We start from the raw sequence: 23,114 nt of genomic DNA, 5'->3' as shown, positions 1-23,114 counted from the left end.
TGTTGGCACAGGGCCACCAGCTCTTCCTAACTTGGAACACATTCTCAAAAAGGGCTGGTCCCACCTTCCTCATCTTGGTTGAGGCCAAGGTCTGGTTTCATTTTTCATTAAACTGCCATTTGTAACTTTCATTGAAGAGAATGACAACATGTCCAACTGTCTTCATTCAGTGTTTTCCCAAGAGAGGGCCTTTTTGCCTCCCACGAGACAGTGTGTGATTTATTTATCTCATCCGTTGTGCAATAGGTTCACCACCATTGCAACTAACACAATGTTCCAGAAAAAAAATGCTGTATCACACAGTGACTTCACTCAAGTTGGCAGTGATTGGTTTCTCACCTAGATCCACCAAAGCCTATACCATGGAGGTAGAATTGCATCACCAGAGACTTCTCTGGTTTGATTGTGAGGGGGGACTATAGGGCTGGGACTGCATCTTGCCCATCTTCATCTGCCCCGGGTCTGGCATGTAGTAGGTGTGGTAGTCATCGGTGCTGTTCACCAAGTATTTCCAACTCTTCACTTCGCAGGCCCTTCTAGGGCTGCATTTCCTGGCCCTCTGTGTCTGGGTGCAACTATTTGCACAGTTCCAGCTGATGAGTTGGGTGCAGAAGCGTTGTACACCACTTCTAGGCTACAGCATTTAAATACTTGTGGTCCAGAGCTCTCTTTTCCCTCTAGCTCGGCAACCAGCAATGTTTGAGAAGGTGGCTACTCAGTCATCCTGGATCCCTGATTGACTGCAATAAGTAAACACCCCCTTCTAACCTATGATGCACATGTAGTGTGAGTAAAAAAATTAATGTTTTTGGCCAAGCGCGGTGGCTCATGCCTGTAATCCCTGCACTTTGGGAGGTCGAGGTAGGCAGATCACTTGAGGTCAGGAGTTTGAGACCAGACTGGCCAACAGGGTGAAACCCGGTCTCTACTAAAAATACAAAAATTAGCCAGGTGTGGTGGTACACACCTGTAATCCCAGCTACTCGGGAGGCTGAGGCAGGAGAATTGTTGAACCCAGAGCCAGAAGTTACAGAGTACGTCACTGCACTCCAGCCTGGGTGACAGAGTGAGACTCCATCTCAAACAAAACAAAACAAAAACAAACAAACAAAACACCTTTGTTTATACTAACCACTGAGATTTTGAGGGTTGTTTGTTACTGCAGAATAACCTAGGCTATCCTCACTGATACCATATGCATAAAATACATGTTTGTTGAATGAATGAATGAATGACTTAAGCCAGAAGAGACTGCTGAGCAGTGTTGCTCTAGAATTCCTTTCTATAAAGAAGAGATTCAGACATGGTAATCTGATTACACGTGTGTGGGAAGTGAGGACCATGTTGGTGAGGGGACTTTTCTTGTTTTGTTTGCATAGTACACTATTTTTATTACATGTCTTTTATTTGGGCTATGAGAGTGCTGATGGGGATTATGGGGGGCCTAAAGCCCCCCAAACCAAACCTTGGCATTATCACTGAAGTTTCAATTGACCTTGCCACCTCCTATGTCTTTTACAAGTGGGGAAACTGAGACCCAGACTGTCTAAGTGATGATACCCATTAGTTAGTGGCAACACTGGTAAACACCAAGCCCCTCGTTTCCTGATTGTCTACCTGGTGCTTTTGCTATGACACCATTCCACCTTTCACACCCAGGTGTTAAGAGAGCAGGGGCTTGAGAGTTGTGCTCTGACTTATTCCAGTCCTGGCTCTGCCACTTACTAGCTGTGGACCTTAGGAAAAGCACTTAACCTATCTGTGCCTTGGTTTCCTCAGCTGTACAGTCCTCTGTGGGTTGCCACGAGGATTTTGTGAAATCAAGTATAAAGTATGTAAAGATCTAGCAGTATTAGTCGATTGTTACTGTTATCCTAAACCCTCATCCCACAGTCTTTTTTTTTTTTTTTTTTTTTTTGAGTCAGTGTCTCACTCTGTCACCCAGGCTGGAGTACAGTGGTGCAATCCCGGCTCACTGCAGCCTTGACCTCCTGGGTTCAAGCGATCCTCCCACTTCAGCCTTCTGAGTAGCTGAGACTACAGGCAACGCCACCATGCCCAGCTAATTTTTGTACTTTTCTGGGTATAGATGAGGTTTCACCATGTTGGCCAGGCTGGTCTCGAACTCCTGGGCTCAAGCAATCCTCTTGCCTCAGCCTCCCAAAGTGCTGGGATTACAGGCATGAGCCACCACGCCCAGCCCAGCTCACCGTCTTGATTTGCACCTGAGCCCCATGTTCTCTTCATGCTCTGTTTCCCTTGGGAAAGAATGAATCTGTTTTAGACCATCATGTGCTCTATTTGTAGACGATTTGGCCACAGGTCAATTACATTTGAAGTTCTAAGGAGAGCCGTGCCCTGAGCACTGGTGAGCTGTCCTCCTCTGCCACCTCCCTTTGCCAAGAACCTTCATTAAGGGACCTACCAGTGGGAAGGGGGCAAGGTGACAAGAACTTTTGCCTTCTCTATTCGGTCTCTGCCATATTTGCTGCCTGACTGATGCCTGCTGATCAAGCTCCATCACTGGTTCAAAGACCCTGTGGGACTACAGCCAAAGCCACCCACTCTTCAGTTGCTGGGACATCAGCCCACAGGCTTTGGATAAATATTCACCTGCAAATCCTGAGCAGCCATAGCCTTCCTTCATATCTCCAGATAGTACCCGTGTAGAAGGCATGTGACTAGGGCTCCCTCTCTCAGAAAAGGCAGAAAAACCTGTGGCTGGAGGGCCGGGGTTCCCTCCTTAATCCCAACCTCTTTCCTCTTCCATAGGCCCTGATGTCAGAGTTATGTGAATCTGAGAGTGTGTGTCAAGAAGAATGAAACTTTGGCTGAAAGTGCAGCAAAATATGAATTTTTAAGAACTGTCTTATTTATGTTTTTTAGACATATTTCTTTTCTTTTTCTTTCTTTTCTTTTTTTTTTTTAGAGACAGGATCTCACTCTGTCACCCAGGCTGGAGTACAGGGTCATGATCATAGCTCATGGTAGCCTCCAACTTCTGGGCTCAAGCCATCCTCCCACCTCAGCCTCCTCAGTAGCTGGGATTACAGGGGCAAGCCACTGTGTCTGGCTACCAGTTTTTGATAAAGCTAAACTTACCATATGACATAGCACTCTTACTTCTAGGTATTTACCTAAGTGAAATAGAGGTTTATATTCACACAAAAAGCTGTATGTGAATATTTATATTGCCTTTATTCACAATAATCAATAGCTGGGGCTACAGGCATGCACCGCCATGCCTGGCTGATTTTTTTTTATTTTTTATTTTTACAGAAATGGAGTCTCACTATGTTGCTCAGGCTGGTCTTGAACTCCTGGGCTCAAGCAATCCCCTCACCCCAGCCTCCCAAAGAGCCTTAAAGTCCTTTTTTAAACAGCAAGTTTGTTTAAAGGAAAAGCATACTTACTCTGGTATCACGCTTAACTTTAGAAATTCAAGCAACTGTTAATATGAGATAGACATATATTAACTTGTTATTGACGTGAGACATACATACAGAAAAGTGCTCATAGATCCGTTTAAACTGTACCCAGATCAAGAAGCCAGACATTACCTGTAAGCCCTTCTTATTCTCCAGTGACCGCTATCCTAACAGCATAGGTTAGTTTTGCCTGTTTTATCCTTTACAGAAACAAAATCATATAGTGTCTGTGTTTTTGGGCCTGACTTCTTCACTCAACATTGTTTCAGAGGTTCATCTATATTAAGCATAGCAGTGGTTCATGCAGTCTCATTGCTGTCTGGGATTCCGCTTTGTGACTATACCATCACAATGTCTGCGATCCATTCTGTTGGTGGGCATCTGGGTCATTTCCAATCTGGGCTATTGCAAATATACTGGTATGATATTCTAGTTCATATCCTTTGGTAAACATACACACTGATTGAGGTTGTGTGTACATCCAGAAGGGGAATTGCTGGTCAGAGGGTAGTTGTACTCTCAGCTTTAATAGATTCTGCCAAAGAGTTTTCCAAAATGCTTGTAAAAATTTACACTCCCACTAGCGGTGTATGAAAATTCTTTAGGTATGAGGTCTATGTAAAGCAAAAATAAAGAAGTTAATATGCAAAAGTTATATGTAAGTTAAAAATACGTGTTAAGTTCATTCAAACGGAACCAATTTAACCCGTTGGAGTAATACCGGGTGTGTTTATTTAATACACCATTTTCCCCTTCATCAAAACTTTTAATTTATGTAACCTGGATGAGCTTCCTGACTCTACTCTCCCTTAATCCAATCAGTTAAAAGTCTCTCTGAAAAGACTGTCCATTCATTTATTCAGTTAGAATGTTGTGAGTGTTAATAAACTGGTGTTTGCAAAACAAATTCAACCCCTCCTGCAAAGCAGAATATACATCTCGCCCATCATGTGTCTAAAATGGCAGAGTCAGCCAGGATATGCCTTAAAGATCTGCACTTGATAACCATCGCGTCTCCAGGGCTGTGAATGCAATTCAGAATCCAGAATTTTGTTCTAGTTGTAAAGGAAAAATGGTATATTCTCCCGCAGGTTTAACGAAAGAGAACGATGCCTTTAAAACGACAAAGCATTTTGCAAACACAGGTGTTATTCGACTATAAAGGCGGCGGGGGAGGGGGGCAGTAAAATGAGCCGGAAAGGGAATTCAGAGCGCTTATTTTTTCCCTGGTCTCTACAACTAATTCGTATTGTAGAACTGAGCCTCCATTTTCCCATCTGTAAAATAGGGTACTTTGACAAATTGCTTAGGGGATCTGTAAGTCCTATCCAGATCTAGTTTTTATTCTATGACCATGCAGGAGGAGAGATGCTGAGACAGAAAGGTAGAGGGGACCAGGGACAACTCACTTTATATACCCCCTCCACCTCGACCCCCAGCAGGCAGAGCGCCCGAGATCCCGGTTTCTGGGAACCCGGTGTATTTCCAGTCCTTCACCAGGAAAACCATCGAACTGAATCCTTTACTGGGACATTTCTCGTTTACTGCTCTCTCCAAATTCCCCTCTCAAGTGGTCTGACATCTGATCTCCGGATTCAGGAATATCTTGGTAGAAGTGCGCCCTCGGGGCTCCCACCCATTACAGCGTGCGACACTGAAACGGGCATATGGGTACCGGGGCGAGCCCTAAAGGTGAGCCGCTGAGTCTGGAGGTTGGGGTCCGTTGGGGTCCCCAAGGAGGAGCTCGCTGGGCTGGACGCCGGGCATCTGAGGGTCCCGCAGTGCCTGGAGCCCAGGAGCGCTGCGGGGCCCCCGGCTGCGGTGGGGTGGGCGGCCGAGCTCGCCGCCCCCGCTTCTCCCCGGCCCCTGCCCCTGCCCCGAGCTCCCAGCCCGGCTTCGGCCGGCCGCGCTGCCCGCTCCCCCTCCTCCCTCCGCGCCCCGCCCGCTCCCCACCTCCGCGCCCAGCCTCGCCGCCGCCGAGCGCCCGACGCGCCACGCCGCGCTGGGCAGCTGGAGAGCTGGCGGCGGAGCGGGCCGGGAGCGGCGGGGGCGGCGCCGAGGCCGCGGGCGGGGGGAGGAGGGCCGCAGCCCCGGAGAGGGGAAAAGGCGGGCCGGACGGCGCCAGCAGCCAGCCCCGAGGACGCGAGCGGCAGGTAAGCGCTCGGCGCCAGGACGGGTCTGGCCCCTTGGGGTCCTGAGACCCAGACTCGCACAGCCGGCCACGGGCGCTGGAGGCTCGGGCGCAGCGTCTAGCCCCGGAGGGCGGCGGGCCAGCGGGCCGGCGGGACGAACGCGCCTTCCGCCCGGCTGCTGTTCCTAGCCGGGGCCCGGGAACATCCTGAAAGGCGGAGGCGTAGCTCCCAGCCCCGGGGCTAGTTCCCCGACTGGGGGAGCCCGCGCGCCGTGGGAAAGGAGGCTCCAAGGGGAGACGCGCGTCTCCAAAACCTTCGGACGGAGCCGTACTTTCCCCAACCCGCGGGAAACTGAGCCACGAGCCTGACTCGCGCGGGTGGTGTGCTAGACGCCAACTCCCGGGAGCCCGGCTCCGCGCGCCTGGTCGGGCTGCGGCGGTGCTGGCGGAGCGCGAACGCGCCCGGGCCCCGGACGGCTTGGGGCGGCACCACTCGGCGCGGCCCCGAACAGGTGGCCCCGGGCACCGAGGGACGGAGCGGCGGCCCGGAGCCAGGGGGTGAGCACGCCGGGGAAGGAGGGGGCTCGTGGTCTCGGAGTGAGCGCATTTCGGCAGGGACTCGAGTTTCGAGGCTCCGAAACCCGATAAAAAGTGAGGGGGAAGAAGAGAGCTGACCTCCCGAGAGCCAGACGAAGCAGGGGACAGGTTTTCCGTGGCTGCTTCGACAGTGACAGTCTGTACTGTGCACGATAATCCCCCAGGGATCCCGTTAAAATGAGATTCTGATCCCGCAGGTCTGGGGTGGGGGCCGAGCGTCTGCATTTCTAAGAAGCTCCCAGTGGCTGCTGATGCTGTTCCATGGACCACACTTTATCCGGCAGGCCCTACGGAAGTACTTTTTGTCCAGCAGGCTGAAAACCTTAGGAAAAGTGGGAGATTGGGAGACGAGGTCCTAAGACTTTACAGTATGTATAGCTTTAATACCTCTTTGCCACCTCTACCCCCAAACGCACGCAAAAACACTTGCTACTATAAAGGCCAAGGGAAACTTTCCCTTCGCCCCCTGAAGGTTCGCTTGAAAAATTAACTGACAAAGACAGATTGATTGGAGAAAAGGCATGCAAATGTATTAATGTGTCCACGGGGAGAGAACAATAGAGTGATTACCCCCAGCCCCCCAATGGGGTACAGAAGCATGTAGATTATCTTGAGGTTACAGAAAGAAAGGGGTCTCAACGCATGGCCCCAAACAGGTTATGGTGGTAAAAGAGGTTGTGAGAGGGGGAGAAGAGGAGGCTTGGCCAGCAAAAATGGTCTGGAGATGTCAATGAAACCTCACAGGTGGCAGCCCTCAGAGAGAATAAACAGTAAATGTTTCTTTCAGACCTTTAAAGGGGTCAGATCCTCAGTTAATTTCTCTTAGATCTGGACAAGGGAGGACCTCGATAAAGCCTGGCTACATCCGTGCAGATTCTCTACAAATGCAAATCTTCCGCACCAAGGACAGCTTTGCATTAGCTCTACTGGCTGGCTTTCTAAATACGTCAATATTTAGAAATATGTCAACTATTTCAAAATATGTCAAAGAAATATATTTTGGGGTAAAATGATTTGATTTCCTTCACTACTCATTTAATAGCGAAATATTTTACTTTTCTTACCAACTTTCTAGCCAAATACATGATCTGATAGCAGGGCTGGCTTCATGGACATGCATCCTGCACTTGGTTTAATGCTGAAATTCTTAATTTTTGAACAAGGGGCCTCTCCTTTTCATTTTGCACTGGGTCCCACAAATTATGTAGCTGATCCTAATAGTCACCATACGTGGAAAGAGAACCCATTTTTTGATCAGGGTTTGAGATGGTGGGTGATGGAGAGTAGAGGTTTATTAAGGGAAGACTAGCTAGATGTTGCAGTTATCTCCAATCTTTCTCAACTCCTCTTTGGCTATCTGAAGAGATAAGTCTAAGAGCATACCCAGGCATGCATGGTGTGACAAAATTTATTACTTTATTAATATCAACAGTTAACAGTTTATTAGGAGCTTAATTATTGATAGACAATACAATTAAGTTTGATATTGAAATAATTTTGTAAGTTTATTGACAAGTTGTGTGTTATTTTCAAAGGATTGGGGAGTCTCTATTTAGCATCTCATAAAATTTTGCTTAGTTAAGATCTAAGATGAGCTGGACATTGCTTGGTTTGGCAGCTTTCACAGCTCAAATGCAAAGCTGGAAAACAAAAAGTGGCCAAATTTTGTAGCTTTTCAGGAGTATTCTTTTACAGGGCCTCAGCGTGATGCCAGCCCGGATCGGATTCCCTTCTGCTTTTATCACTCCCACATCTCTGCAAGGTGACTTTCATTAAAAGGGGGATAGAGCATATTTAGCTACTGAAAAACACTGAAGAAAGGCAGGGCCAGCATCAGTATTTTGTCTGTGAAGAAATCTTGCCCAAAAAACACAGATTCCAGGTGTGTGTATTTTTCTAGAAAAAAGAAATGTTGGAAATACAGAAAAGAAAAAGATTGTACTCTAACTATGGATATGATTTTGTTCAGCAGAGGGAGAAAAAGTCAGATAAGTGGCATTTCATTGGCGGGTTTGGCAGGGAAAGGAAAGCTGCTGTGTTTTTGGTACCATGAACAGCCTTCCAGAAATGGCAAAGTGAGTTTGCTCAGGTGCAAGGAAGAGCCAGCAAAGAAGCTGATTTTCCATGGCTGATGTGATCATTGTGGGGACTCAGAGCAGGACATCACGACATATGTTCTTGGTGCTTTGACGGCTCAGATGAAACTGAAAAACACATTTTTCCACTTTTCTGCCTGAGCGTGCCAAGTCGCTTTCAAATACACGATCCAAACTGGGAAGAGTGCTATTAAATTAACAAAAGGAGGGAGAGGGAGGTGTTTCTGTGATGTCCATGATTCAAAAGATAGAAAGGAGGGATTCTGACTTTAGTTAAAACCTGGGAGCTAGTTTTTATGCTTCACTGAGAAAGGTTTTCCTGACCACAAGATAGGAAGAAAAAAGTTCTTTTAAAATGTTTATGGTTTCAAAAATGTGTAGGTATTTAATCCGCATGGAATTTATTTTGGGATTGTGGTGTGAGGTGGTGGGTGATGGAACTTAAACGGGCTAACATTTGGGGAAAGCTATCATAAAATAAATTCCCGCAATCAAATAAATTGTGGTAAACACTGTCCCATTTTACAAATCGATTTAATGGATTCTTCAGTCTACTCCATGTTTTTCAAATTGAAGTGTAACTTATTACAGTAAAATTCACTCTTTTCAGTGTACAGTTCTAGAAGTTTTGACAAATGTATATAGTCATGTAACCACCACCGTATCAGGATGTAGAAGAATTCTACCACTCCAAGGAATTCCCTGTTGACTCTTTGTAGTCAGCCTCCCCCAACTCTCAGCCCCTGGCAACCACTGATTTGTTTGCTGTCCCTATAATTTTGTTCTTTTCAGAATGTCCTGTAAAAGAACTTATGTATTCTGTAGGCTTCTGAGCCTGGCTTCTTTCACCTAGCATAATGCATTTGAGGTTTATCTATGTTGCACGGATCAATACTTCATTCCTTACTGTTGCTGAGCAGTATCCCAAAGTTTGTTTATCCACTCACCAACTATTGATGATTATGAATAAAGCCAATATAAATATTCACATATGGCTTTTTGGATGAATGTAAACTTTTATTTCACTCAGGTAAACACGTAGAAGATGGCTATGTTGTATGTGAGCTTTATCAAAAACTGATAACCGGGCACAGTGGCTCGTGCCTGGATTCCCAGCTACTCAGGAGGCTAAGGTGGGAGGATCGCTTGAGGCCAGGGGTTCAAGAACAGCCTGGGCAACATAGCAACATTCCCGTCCCTACAAAAAAAATTAAAAAATTATCTGGGCATGGTAGCATGCACCTGTAGTCCTTGCTACTCAGGAGGCTGAGGCAGACGGATCTCTTCAGCCGGGGATTTTGAGGCTGCAGTGAGCTATGATTGGGCCACTGCACTCCAGCCTAGGCAATAAGAGTGAAACTCTGTCTCAAAAAAGAAAAACAAAAACAAAAAGAAATTGTATCCTTTTTTCCCACTTCATTTTCTATGGTAGTGAGTAGGAAGGCTATTTAATTGTTTTTCTGTACATTTATCTTACATTCAAGCCATTTTACTGAACTTTTCTTAGTTCTAATAGTTTTTCAGTTGATTTTCTTGGATTTTCAAAGTAGACAGTCAAATTGTCTGCAAATGGCAATAATATAGGGAATTTTCCCTCCAATATTTTTACCTCATTTTATTTTCTTGCTTTAGTGGCTAGGCTTCCCTGTAGGATAATGTTGAGTAGTAGTTGCTACTATTTTACCATTAACTATTGTGCTTGCCATAGGGTTCTGGTGGCTACCTTAATTATCCTCAGGATGTTTCTTTTCCATTGTTAGCTTGCTAAAAGTCTAAAAGTTTAATTTTAAAATTTCTTGTTCTGCTTGGAATTCTTTTTTTTTTTTTCCCATTGAAAGCCTAAGAGGTTTAGGATCAGTTAGTTTGCTTCTTGACTTTGGAAGTTCATATTTTGATCTCACTGGAGGAGAAGTTAGTGTAGCATTAAGTCAATTCATTTTATTTTATTTTATTTAGATAGAGTCCTGCTCTGTCAACTAGGCTGGAGAGCAGTGGTAGTAATCTCGGCTCACTGCAACCTCCGCCTCCTGGGTTCAGGTGATTCTCCTGCCTCAGCCTCCTGAGTAGCTGGGACTATGGCGGCGCACCACCACACCTGGCTAATTTTTGTATTTTTAGTAGAGACGGGGTTTTGCCATATTGGCCAGGCTGGTCTCGAACTCCTGACCTCAAGTGATCTACCCGGCTCGGCCTCCCAAAGTGCTGAGATTACAGGCATGAGCCACTGCGCCTGGTAATTCATTTTATTTAGATGATGAAGAACCTACCTTTGGAGGTTTTTTTAATAATGTTCTTATTTGGGGGAATGCTGGGTGTACTGAGGAAGAAAGAGAATCAAGAGACAGTTTATAACCTACTCATGTATAAACAAGGTAGCTTTTTCTAGTGTTCAAACTTTTTTTGCCCACCATTCACAATAAGTACATTTTATATTTCTTTTTTTCTTTCTTTTTTTTAATTTTTTAATTTTTTTTTTTGAGACAGAGTCTCACTCTGTTGCCCAGGCTGGAGTGCAGTGGCGCAATCTCAGCTCACTGCAGCCTCTGCCTCCCAGGTTCAAGCAGTTCTCTGCCTCAGCCTCCCGAGTAGCTGAGATTGCAGGTGCCCGCCACCACACCCGACTAATTTTTTTTTTGTATTTTTAGTAGAGACGAGGTTTCACCATCTTGGCCAGGTTGGTCTTGAACTCCTGACCTCATGATCCACCCGCCTCGGTCTCCCAAAGTGTTGGGATTACGGGCGTGAGCCATCACGCCTGGCCACATTTTATATTTCAGCTCAGTCCAAACATACTTGTATATAATGGAAACAAACTCTCACAAAGTCTTTGTCTTTCTCCTGTGTGCAATGTATTGATATTTTCAATTATCTTTCATCTGTTCTATTTCATTTTAAACTGATGATCATGATTTTCCAAATTGATTTGACTACCCTTTCATTTGATTTTTTGACCCACAGTTTGAAAAACATTGTTTTGTAAAACTGCTCATTTAGTTTCTAAGTCCCCAAACTGCTGGATTATGTCCAGAACCGATTCATTTTATATCAGATCCTGCTATGATGCAAAGTAAGTTCATTTATTATGCTCTGAGATCAGTGTAACTACCTATTTCTCTCTTGAATTACTGTGTAGCCTCTAAACCAGTCTTTCAGTGTCTACTTTTGACCCCACAGAATAGCCAATACATGCAGTCTTATAAGTCCATGACTCAAACTCCTCTAATGACCTCTTCCCACACTTTTTTTTTTTTTTTTTTTTTTTTTGAGACGGAATCTCTGTTGCTGAGGCTGGACTGCAGTGGCGCGATCTTGGCTCACTGTAACCTCTGTCTCATGGGTTCAAGAAATTCTCCTGCCTCAGCCTCCCTAGTAGCTGGGACTACAGTTTCACACCTCCATGCCTGGCTAATTTTTATATTTTTAGTAGAGTCGGGGTTTTACCATATTGATCAGGCTTTTCTCGAGCTCTTGACCTCAGTTGATCCACCCACCTCGGCCTCCTATAGTGCTGGGATTACAGGCATGAGCCACTGCGCCCGGACTTTTTTTTTCTCTTGAGACAGGATCTCGTTCTTTTGCCCAGACTGGAGTGCAGTGTCATGATCATGGCTCACTGCAGCCTCAACCTTCGGTGCTTAAGCGATCCTCCCACCTCAACCTCCTGAGCAGCTGGAGGCACTACAGGCTTGCCCCACCATGCCTGGCTAATTTTTAAAAAGTTTTTGTAGTGACGGGGTCTCCCTGTGTTGCCCAGGCTGGTCTCGAACTCCTGGATTCAAGCAGGCTTCCTGCCTCAGTCTCCCAAAGTGCTGAGACTACAAGCATGAGCCACTGCACCCGGCCTGCACTTTTTTTTTTCTTAGACGAGATGGGGTCTCAGTCTGTAGCCCAGGCTGGAGTGCAGTGGTGTGATCATAGCTCACTGCAGCCGCAAACTCCTGGGCTCATGCAACCACACCCAGCTAATTTTTGTATTTTTAGTAGGGATAGGGTTTCACCGTGTTGGCCAGTCTGTTGAACTCCTAGCCTCAAGTGATCCTCCTGCCTCGGCCTCCCAAAGTGCTGGGATTATAGGCGGGAGCCACCGCGCCGCCTCCTACCACACTTACAATCAATCCCTAGGGCCTCACTGGTACCTCCTTTACTCCCTATTCTCAACTTCTCCAAACACAGCCTCCTCCGTGCTTATGTTCCTCACCCAAGCCAAGCGTTTGCTGTGCTACCTGCCCAGAACACCATTTCACCAGATAGTTTCTTTGTTTCATCTGAGTCTTCTCTAACCCTCATTCTAAAACCGTACTCCCCACTTACCACAGGAAGGGTCCATTCCCTTATCCCACTTTTGTTTTCTTTATATCACTGTTACCTGCAATTATGTTATTTAGTTATTTGTTTACTGATGCTGCGTCTTCTTTTCCTTCCTGGAATATAAGTTCCAGGAAGGCAGGGACTTTGTGTAGTTTGCTCATCATTGTGTTGTCAGGACTTAGAACAGTGGGACGTAGTAGGTGCTTTATCCACGTGTCAAATGACCGAATGAATGAGCCTAGAATATAGATAAAATCTGACACTTGTCCTAAGAGAAGTATAATGTGCCCTGCCTTTCTGTTCCAATGTTAGTGTGGAAATTTCTTTAGGTTAAGCGTGGAGTATTTTAATGTAAGCAGTTCATTAACCAATACACACTCACCTGGTATCCACTATATTTCTGACACTCTCGTAATAATAATGATAGCTAATATTTACTGAGCAGTTACTACCCTTATTGCTTTACATCTATTAACTCATTTAATCCTCCCAACCTCTTGAAGCAGGTACAATTCTCATCATTTTACAGATGAGGAAACTGAGGTACAGAGAAGTTAAGTTACTTGTCTAAGGTCATACAGAAGGTAAGCAGTAGGTCCGGGGTTTGAATACAGACCATCTGATTTCAGAGCCTGTGTTCTTCATCACAAGCTCCTAGCTAGAGCAAGGAGTGCGCACAATTCCTGACCTTTGTAAGCCTGTCACGTTTATGGCTTAGCATAGTGGTTCTCAACTGGAGGTGATTTTTGCCTCCCAGGGGACATTTGACAATGTCAAGAGACATTTTTAGTTGTCATGACTGGCAGGGTTTGGAGGTGCTACTGGCGCCTAGTGGGGAGAGGTCGAGGATGCTGGTAAACATCCTACAGTGCACAGCACAGCACCCTCACCCCAACAAACAGTGATCCGGCCCAAGCATTAATAGTGCCAAGGTTGAGAAACCCTGCCGTGGCACAGTGGTTCTGAAAGCCCGCTGCCCACTGGAATCACTGGGGGAGCTTGATAAATCAATACCGATGTCCAGGTCTTGTTCCTGACCTTAATAAACCTCAAATGGACCTTCAACATGGCCTGCAGTCCTACCATGCTTGCCTAGTGGGTTTGTTTTTCCATTCTCCAAAACAGTTGTTTGACACCTTTTATTTCCTCTGCCCCTCCTAGATCAGTTGCTGATTCTGGCTCATTCAACAGGAGCCTCCTCATAACCCACTACCTGGACCCCCAACAGGCCCATATTTGTGCAAATAAAGTGTTCCCCAGTGCCACTGTGAAGCTGTGACTGAAATGCCCCTAATGGATCAAAAACTGGCTGCTTTTCTGGGCTCTGGGTCCCTCATCCTCTTTGTCTTCTCAGGGACTTTTTTTTTTTTTACTTTTTTTTTTTTTTTTTTGAGACAGATTCTTGCCCCGTCGCCCAGGCTGGAGTGCAGTGGTGCAATCTCGGCTCACTGCAACCTCTGCCTCCCGGGTTCAGGTGATTCTCCTGCCTCAGCCTCCTGAGTAGCTGGGACCACAGGTGCCCATCACCACGCCTGGCTATTTTTCTTTGTATTTTCAGTAGAGATGGGGTTGCGCCATGCTGGCCAGGTTGGTCTCGAATTCCTGGCCTCCGGTGATCCGCCTGCCTCAGTCTCCCAAAGTGCTGGGATTACAGGCGTGAGCCACCGCACCCGGCCTTAACGTTTTATTTGGAAATAATTTTAAACTTTACAAATGAGCTGAACATTTTTTTTAAAAAGTACAAAGAACACCCCATGCCCTTAATCCAGATTCCTCTGTTGTTAGCATTTTATCCTGTTTGCTTTATCATTTACACTCTTGCTCGTGTACCTAGGATTTTCCTGAACCATTTGAAGATAAATTTCATGCAGCAAGAACTTTAACTCCTAAATCCTTCAGTAGGGATTTCCTAAGTATAAGAATATTCTCTCAAATAATCACAGCGCTGTTATCAATCTCAGTAAATGTTTTGATAAGATACTGTTATCTAATCTGCCGTTTGTATTCCAATTTTGACAATAGACCTGATAACATCCTTTACAGCATTTTTTTCCTTCTAGTACAGGATCCAGTTTAGGGTTGTTGCATTGATTGATTGATTGATTGAGATAGGCTGGAGTGCGGTGGCACAATCTCGGCTCACTGCAACCTCTGCCTCCCAGGTTCAAGTGATTCTCCTGCCTCAGCTTCCCGAGTAGCTGGGACTACAGGCACGTACCACCACTCCCAGCTAATTTTTGTATTTTTAGTAGACATGGGGTTTTGCCATGTTGGCCAGGCTGGTCTCAAACTCCTGACCTCAGGTGATCTGCCCGCCTCAGCCTCTCAAAGTGCTGAGATTACAGGCGTGAGCCACCGCACCGGCAGGTTTAGAGTTGTTGCATCTAGTTGTCATGTCTCTTAGTCTCTTTTAGTCTGGAACACTTCTATTGCCTTTCTTTGTCCTTTGTAACGTTGATTTTTTTTTTTTTTTTGGTTTTTTTTTTGTTGTTGTTGTTTTGTGTTTGAGACAGAGTCTCACCCTGTCGCCAGGCTGGAGTGCAGTGGCGCGATCTCGGCTCACTGCAACCTCCATCTCCCGGGTTCAAGCAATTCTTCTGCCTCAACCACCCGAGTAGCTGGGATTACAGGCACAAGCCACCACACCCAGCTAATTTTTGTATTTTTAGTAGAGACGGGGTTTTACCATGTTGGCCAGGATGGTCTCGATCTCTTGACCTCGTGATCCACCTGCCTTGGCCTCCCAAAGTGCTGAGTGCTGGGATTACAGACAGGTGTGAGCCACCTTACCCGGCCTTTTTTTTTTTTTTTTAATAGAACATTAATCATGTCTGGTTTGTCTGATGTCTCTTGTGATTGGACTCAGGTTATGCATTTTTAGCCTGAACACTGCGTGGATGACATTATATCCTTCTCAGGGTATCTTATTTTGGAGGCTCATAATGTCCATCTCTTCCTCATTGGTGATGTTAATTTTGATCACTTGGCCAGGGCATTGTCTAATTTCTCCACTGTGTAGTTATTGGTTTTTCTTTCCAAATCCACAGTCTGTGGGAAGACACAAATATCCTGCTCAAAATTTCCCTCTAGGGCCAGGTGTGGTGGCTCACGCCTGTAATCCCAGTACTTTGGGAGGCTTACTTGGAGGATCAGTTGAGCCCAGGAGTTCCAGACCAGCCTGGGCAACATAGTAAGACCCCGTCTCTACAAAGAAAATTAAAAAATTAGCCAGGCATGGTGGTATGTGCCAGTGGCCCCAGCTACTTGGGAGGCTGAGGTATTAGGATCACTTGAACCCAGGAGATCGAGGTTGCAATGAACCATTATCGGACCACTGCACTCCAGCCTGGGTGACAGAGCAAGACCCTGTCTGAAAATAATAATAATAATAATAATAATTCCCTTTAGATTTAGCATCCAGTGATGATTTTTGTATGATCTATTCTTTAATATGGTTGAAAATAATAATTTTCGACTCTAGTATTCCCTCCACATTTGGTCCAGAGCCCTTCCTTCTCCCCTATTTATTGATTGATTCATCTATTTATTTTTGGTATCAAATAATTCATATTTTCAAAATAGGTCTGCAATTCATTACTATACTTAATTATTTTAGTGCACAAATTGTAAAGGACTTAATTATGCATTGTTTCCTTCTCTCTTTTCTGCCTAATGAACTCCTCTCTCCCTGTTCTAGATCATTCCCATCAGCTTACAATCCTGCTCTAATGTCTAATATCTTCATCAATTCCATATTCTCCTCCACTCATTCCCCACCCCCATTTCTAGTCACTCCTTCTCAGAAGATCTTCTTAAAAGGATGCTCATATTTTATCACACCACATTGTCAGTCCTCAGTATATCCACATTGGCAAATACAGCCATCACTTCTTTACTTACCATGTTTTACTTGGCGGCAGCATTTGACAGTCATTCCCTCCTTCTTTGACCACTTTCTTGTTGTGGCCTCCAGTATCCTACGCTCTCTTGGTTTTCCTATCTTTCTGGTAGCTCATTCTAAGTCTCCTCATCCTCTCTTCTACCTATGAAGGTTGATGTCCCTCCAAGGCACTGGGAACTGTTCTTCTCTTTCTACCTACTCTCCTGGGATGAGCCCATTCATTCCTATGGCTTTCCATTCCATCTAGATGCCAGTATCTCCAGTTGTGACCTTTCCTACACTTAAGACTTAATAATTTGCATGAATCTCTAAGAGGCATCTCAAACTCAATATTTTCCAAAGCAAAATCCTGATTCCCTGTCACCCTCATGCAAAACCTGATTCTCTCCCTGTGAAATCCATCTCAGTCCATGACATCACCATTCACTCCATCGTTCAGGCTCCACACCTACTAGTTTCATGCCCCACATCCAACCCATCAACAAATCTTGTCAATTTGGCTTCTAAACCGTATCCCAAGTCTTCCCACTTCTCTCTACTCCTACTATTCCACTATACTTCCATCCTTCTCCGTCTCTTTCTTGGATGATTGTAGTGGCCTCCTAGAATCCAATATCCACATGGCAGCTAGAGTATCTTCTTAAAAGCATTAGTTGGATTGTGTCATTCCCTACTGGACTATGGAAGTCTGCCATGTTCTAGTCCCTGCCCCTCTTCTATCTCTCTTGCTGACTGTGCTTCTTTATTGATTCTTCCAGCACATTAACCTCATTTTAGTCTTTTATACTAACTGTTCTGCCTGGAATGTTCTTTCTGTCCTCTACTTTATCTTCTGTTTTTTTGTTTTTTTTTTTTGTTTGTTTTTTGTTTTTTTTTGAGATAGAGTCTCTCCCTGTCACCTAGGTTGGAGTGCAGTGGCGCAATCTTGGCTCACTGCGACCCCTGTCTCCCGGGTTCAAGTGATTCTTGTGCCTCAGCCTCCTGAGTAGCTGGGATTATAGGTGCATGCAACCACACCCGGCTAATTTTTGTATTTTTAGTAGAGAAGATGGGGTTTTGCCATGTTGGCCAGGCTGGTCTCAAACTCCTGGCCTCAAGGGATCCACCCGCCTCAGCCTCCCAAAGTGCTGGGATTACAGGCATGAGCCACCGCGCCTGGTCCCTCCTTTATCTTCTTATTGCTGGTTCCTCATCATTCAGATCTCAGTTTAAATATCTCCTCTTTGATGACCTGATCCAAAATAGCCACCAGGTTACCTTCTATATCATCTCACCTTACTCTAATTCTCAATGCTGTATTTATTATCTGTTAATTTCCTTGTTGATTTGTACATTTATTGTTCTCTTCTCCTCCTTCCACCCTCCTCACACTAGAATGTGAGCAGGGTCCACATCTTTACCCCCAGTGCCTAGAATAGTATTTGGCATGTAGTATTCAATTTTGGTGTTTAATAAATATTTGATGAATAAATGATACATTTAATCCTTCATGCATGATTCTCAGCACATGGAAGATACTCACTAAATGTCCTCTTGTTGTCTTTCCCCAAGAGTACATTCTTGTGTCTGGGGCTAGTCTAGAAGTTTCCAGTGAAGACAATCATCTGATAAAGAGATTCATATTTCTGTGTTAGGATCCTGATTATTAGGGTTTCTAGACAAAGGGGAATTACATTTTACCAAGAAAAAAACAGTGATAGAATTCCAGGGATCATTAGTGTCACATTTTTCAGTGTGGGACTTTCCTGGCCCTCCTAACTACAAGACTGGTTCTCAGATTCCACAAAATCGACATGTTTTATCTTGGGATTCTGTCGTGTAAATTTTTGAAACACTTCATTTGGGAGGATCACGTGGATTTTTAGGTGGGAAGAAGGGGATAGCAAAGGAAGTGGCATTCTTCTCTGCCTTTGTTAATAGTATCATTTCCTGTGCCCATTTCAACGTTAGCTCTGGTATAACACAAGTGATAAGCCGTGTGTGTTATTGAAATCTGAGAAAAGGGCACCAAAAAATGTTTAGTACTTTGTACTGGTCTAAAATTCATGACTTGAATATGTGGGGAGAGAGTGAGGAAGATTGGGAAGATGTATACTGAAGTGGTTTCCCTTTGAGGTATTATTTGAAGATTGGTGTGATTTTTGGGAAAGCTCTTGTAGTGGATTTTAAAGCTTCCAGGAAAAAATCTGTACCAATGAACACGACTAATGATTTTGTCAGCAGATGATTCGCTTTTTGACAGAAATATACCACATGTTTTTGGGGTATTTGGAGAAACCATCACCCTTGACCCAGTAGGATTTTTTTTTAAACTGGGCCAAATGCTTATTGTATTCACAGTTCATACATGAGTCAAGAGCTGGGCGCCATTACTCAGCTTGTGATATTGATCACCTGTTCATCACGATTCATCATTTCAAGCAGCCATCCTTATGAAAGCAGGCAAGTGTGTCAAGTAGTATTTCATGGACATATTTAGAGCGTTCTTCTTCTTCCTTCTTCTTTCTTCTTCTTCTTCTTTTTTGAGATGGGGTCTCCCTATATTGCCCAGGCTGGTCTTGAACTCCTGGGCTCAAGTGATCCTTCTGCCTCAGCCTGAGTGTTACTCTCTTTGACTTATCCATAAAAGTGGATCCAATGTGTCTACATATATTTTTTAAATTAAACTTTTATTGAAGTACAAATTATACACATTACAAATGTACAGCTCAATGAATTTTCACAAACTGTGCATATCCCTGTCACCAGCCCCCAGATCAAGAATCCCACACAAGCAGCCTTTAGAAGCCCTCCTCTTGCCTCCTTTCACTCACTGCCCCCCAAGGGTGACTACTGTTCTCCCTCAAATGCCACATATTGTGCCTGTTCTTAAATTTCCTATATGTGGTACCAGACAGGCTACCTGACTTCTGCTCAGTATTGTTTGTGAATTTCCTCCATATCGTTGCATGTGGTTATAGTTGGGTGATTGTCACTGCCGAATAATATTCCGTTGCATGATTACCATGGTTTATCCTTTCTACTGCTGATGGCCTTTGTTTGGTTTCCAGCAGTTTTGGCTTTTATGAGTGGTGCTGTGGGTGATTCTCTTGCCTATCTTGTAGTGAACATATATGTGCATTACTACCAGGTAAATACCTAAAAGAATGCTTTAAATAGATTATTAATAGTTTTTATGGTTACTGTCAATTATTTTCTCCTCTGAATGCAATTAGGATTAGTAGCCACCTTTGGACATAACTCACACATCTGTATCCATAGACAATGATGAGACTTTCTTTCTGTAACTTTTTTTTTTTCTTGAACTCCTCAAGCAACCTGCCCGCCTCAGCTTCCTAAACTGCTGGGATTACAGGCATGAGCCACCGCACCTGGCTTTCTGTAACTTTTTTTATTAAGTTCTAGCATTAGTTGTTTTTACACTTTAATTTTCTTTTTTCTTTTTTTTTTTTTTTTTGAGACGGAGTCTCACTGTCACCCAGGCTGGAGTGCTGGAGTGCAGTGGCGCGATCTCGGCTCACTGCAACCTTGTGTCACCTCCCGGAGCGATTCTCCTACCTCAGCCTCCTGAGTAGCTGGGACTACAGGTGCGTGCCACCACACCTGGCTAATTTTTTGTATTTTTAGTAGAGACTGGGTTTCACCGTGTTAGCCAGGATGGTCTCGATCTCCTGACTTTGTGATCCGCCCGCCTCAGCCTCCCAAAGTGCTGGGATTACAGACGTGAGCCACCGCGCCCAGCCTATACTTTAATTTTTTTCTAATAATTGGTTTCTATGCTGATTTTTTCCTTTACCAACTACCTATATCATATCATCATTTTAAAATATCTTAAGAATTTTAGCTTGCTTTTTCTTTTCCTGCCTGCCCCCACCATCCCCACCCCCAGCTGTATTTCTTTTGAAATGAAAAAAAAAAAAAAAACAAAAAACAAAACTCCTGGAACTGCTGAATGTGTTTTGCAGATATAGAGGTAAAGGTTTACCACCCGAATAGCTTTAGAATGGTACAGGCTTATTCAGCACTGATTCCTAGTCTTGCCAAGGAAAAGTAAAAAGGACAAAGAAAGGAAGAAAGAAGGAGGGTTAAAAAACTAAATTATGCTTTATTTTGTGGTGTATTGGTTGACAGTAGTATTTTTCTCTGTCTCCTCTCAGCTAATCTGGTCATTTGACCAACTGGATAGAGCAAATATTGTCTGAAATGAAGCAAATACATTCCATTTGATTTTGGTGGGAGACAAATTTTTAGGCAGGGAAAACGATTAGCAGATAGTGTCATGCACAGCAGTGCCTTTCAAATGCCAACATGCAAAACGATTGCCTGGGGATCTTGTTAAAATGCATATGCGGATTCAGCAGGTTTGGGACTGGCCAGAGATTTCTGCATTGCAGCTCCTAGGTGAGGTGATGCTGCTGTTGGGGCGGGGGAGCTGCACTTTGAGTAGCGAAGCTTTAGAACATAGCTGCCTCCATGTTCCTGGGGATTATATGGAGCATTTGCCCGTTGCCCACTGATGGATGATAAACAGCTCTCCCAAGTACCCCTCTGGGCTTGTCCTCTCAGCACTGCCGGCAGAACCAGGTTGTGTGTAGCCTGCATTAAAGCAGCAGACAAAGCCCAGGGCTCTTCTTTTTTTTTTGAGACAGAGTCTCACTCTGTCACCCAGGCTGGAGTGCAGTGGCATGATCTCGGCTCACTGCAACCTCCACCTCCCGGGTTCAAGTGATTCTCATGCCTCAGCCTCCCGAGTAGCTGGGATTGTAGGTGCCCGCCACCACCGCCCAGCTAATTTTTGTATTTTTAGTAGAGACGGGGTTTCACCATGTTGCCCAGGCTGGTCTCGAACTCCTGGCCTCAAGCGATCTGCCCACCTCGGCCTCCCAAAGTGCTGGGATTACAGGCGTGAGCCACTGCACCCAGCCGCAGTGCTCTTTTTTTAACCTGGAATAGCAACTTCTTTCAAATCTCCCTCACCTGGACTCTCCTCAAATATCTCATAACACCTGAAGAAAAACCACTAACCTCAAACACACGCCAAACCGAAACACACACACACACACACACAAACACACACTATCCCAGATACTGACATGGAGAAAGGAGTGGGGTGGGGCAGGCATTAAGCCACTCTTTTTTCTCCTGGCTTCACTATCGCACACTTCCTCATTCATTCCAGAGCAACTAGGTGTCTGTTTCAACATCCCTGGCCCCACCATTATAGTACACACCAGTCACCTTCCAGCCACGAGCTGCACATTTCTCTGTGGGGGCCCTCTTTACACATCCATGCTGCAGGTTGGAAGTGCCAGGGAATTAACAGCTCCCACCCCACCCCAGGAGCAGCCTTCAACCAATGCCTGATGCAAGTCAGTGGATCCATACCCTCAAGTGGGATAATTCAGACCGGTGTTCTACACTGGCTCCCAGAATTCCCCAGAAGGACTAAACTCCCATTGCCCCCAGTGGTGACTGGCTTGATAACGCCATCTATTGGCTGCCTTCCTGCCCCAACTCACGTGTCCATTCTATCTGTGTTTCCTGGGGTCACAGCCCAGATAAACTACTTATCTCGAATATGTGCCAAAGAGTTACCTTCTTCTTCTTCTTCTTTTTTTTTTTTTTTTTTTTTTTGAGACAGAGTCTCGCTCTGTCGCTTAGACTGGAGTGCAGTGGTGCGATCTTGGCTCACTGCAACCTCCGCCTCCCAGGTTCAAGTGATTCTCCCAACCCAGTAGCTGGAATTACAGGTGCACGCCACCATGCTAATTTTTGTATTTTTAGTAGAGACGGGGTATTTCAGCTAATTTTTGTATTTAAAAAAATTTTTTTTATTATACTTTAAGTTCTGGGGTACATGTGCAGAACGTGCAGGTTTGTTACATAGGTATACACGTGCCGTGGTGGTTTGCTGCACCCATCAACTCATCACCTACATTAGGTATTTCTTCTAGTGCTTTTCCTCCCCTAGCCGCCCATCCCCCTACAGGCCCCCGTGTGTGATGTTCCCCTCCCTGTGTCCATGTGTTCTCATTGTTCAACTCCCACTTATGAGTGAGAACATGTGGTGTTTGGTTTTCTGTTCTTGTGTTAGTTTGCTGAGAATGATGGTTTCCAGCTTCATCCATGTCCCTGCAAAGGCCTATTTAACATGGCCTAAATAGCAACTAATTATAGTTGGATGATTGTCACTGCCAAATAATATTCCACTGCATGACTACCATGGTTTATCCTTTCTACTGCTGATGGCCTTGTGTATAATTTGTACTACAATAAAAGTTTAATTTAAAAAATATACATAGACACATTGGATCCACTTTCATGGATGAGTCAAAGAGAATAACACTCAGGCTGAGGCAGAAGGATTGCTTGAGCCCAGGAGTTCAAGACCAGCCTAGGCAATATGGGAAGACTCCATCTCGAAGAAGCAGCAGCAGCAGAAAAAGAAAGAAGGAAGAAGAAATACAAAACACATAATTTTTGTATTTTTAGTAGAGACGGGGTTTCACTATGTTGGCCAGGCTGGTCTCGAACTCCTGGCCTCAAGCAATCTGCCTACTTCGGCCTCCTAATGTGCTGGGATTACAGGCATGAGCCACCACGCCCAGCCTTGGAGTTACTTTTTTTTTTTTTTTTTTTTTTTTTGAGACAGA

General features: G+C 44.9%; 1 protein-coding gene across 14 annotated transcripts in view, besides 1 other annotated feature; it reads left to right on the top strand.

The window, feature by feature from the left end:
- ADGRG2 (adhesion G protein-coupled receptor G2) overlaps positions 5,067–23,114 on the top strand; it is a 133,650-nt gene continuing 115,602 nt past the window's right edge. For 11 of the 14 annotated variants that reach the window (XM_047441758.1, NM_001184835.2, NM_001184836.2 and 8 more), the window contains exon 1: positions 5,555–5,581. The gene's annotated coding sequence lies outside the window, so the exon portion shown is untranslated. Of the gene's footprint in view, positions 5,121–5,554; positions 5,582–5,898; positions 6,118–23,114 lie in introns of those variants that run through there. The other 3 variants (XM_047441756.1, XM_011545434.2, XM_006724455.3) reach the window with 2 other exon arrangements.
- Positions 20,401–21,030: an enhancer, noted in NCBI's record as "OCT4-NANOG-H3K27ac hESC enhancer chrX:19125111-19125740 (GRCh37/hg19 assembly coordinates)". NCBI's record gives its function as "activates a minimal SCP1, AML or CMV promoter by ChIP-STARR-seq in primed H9 embryonic stem cells {active_cell/tissue: H9 hESC(primed)}" and the evidence as "EXISTENCE:reporter gene assay evidence [ECO:0000049][PMID:30033119]".

This window comes from Homo sapiens, chromosome X (genome assembly GCF_000001405.40).
Source record: "Homo sapiens chromosome X, GRCh38.p14 Primary Assembly".
In the NCBI taxonomy this organism is placed as follows: domain Eukaryota; kingdom Metazoa; phylum Chordata; class Mammalia; order Primates; family Hominidae; genus Homo; species Homo sapiens.
The sequence above is the reverse complement of the archived record's forward strand: the minus strand, read 5'-3'. Positions and strand labels throughout refer to the sequence as shown.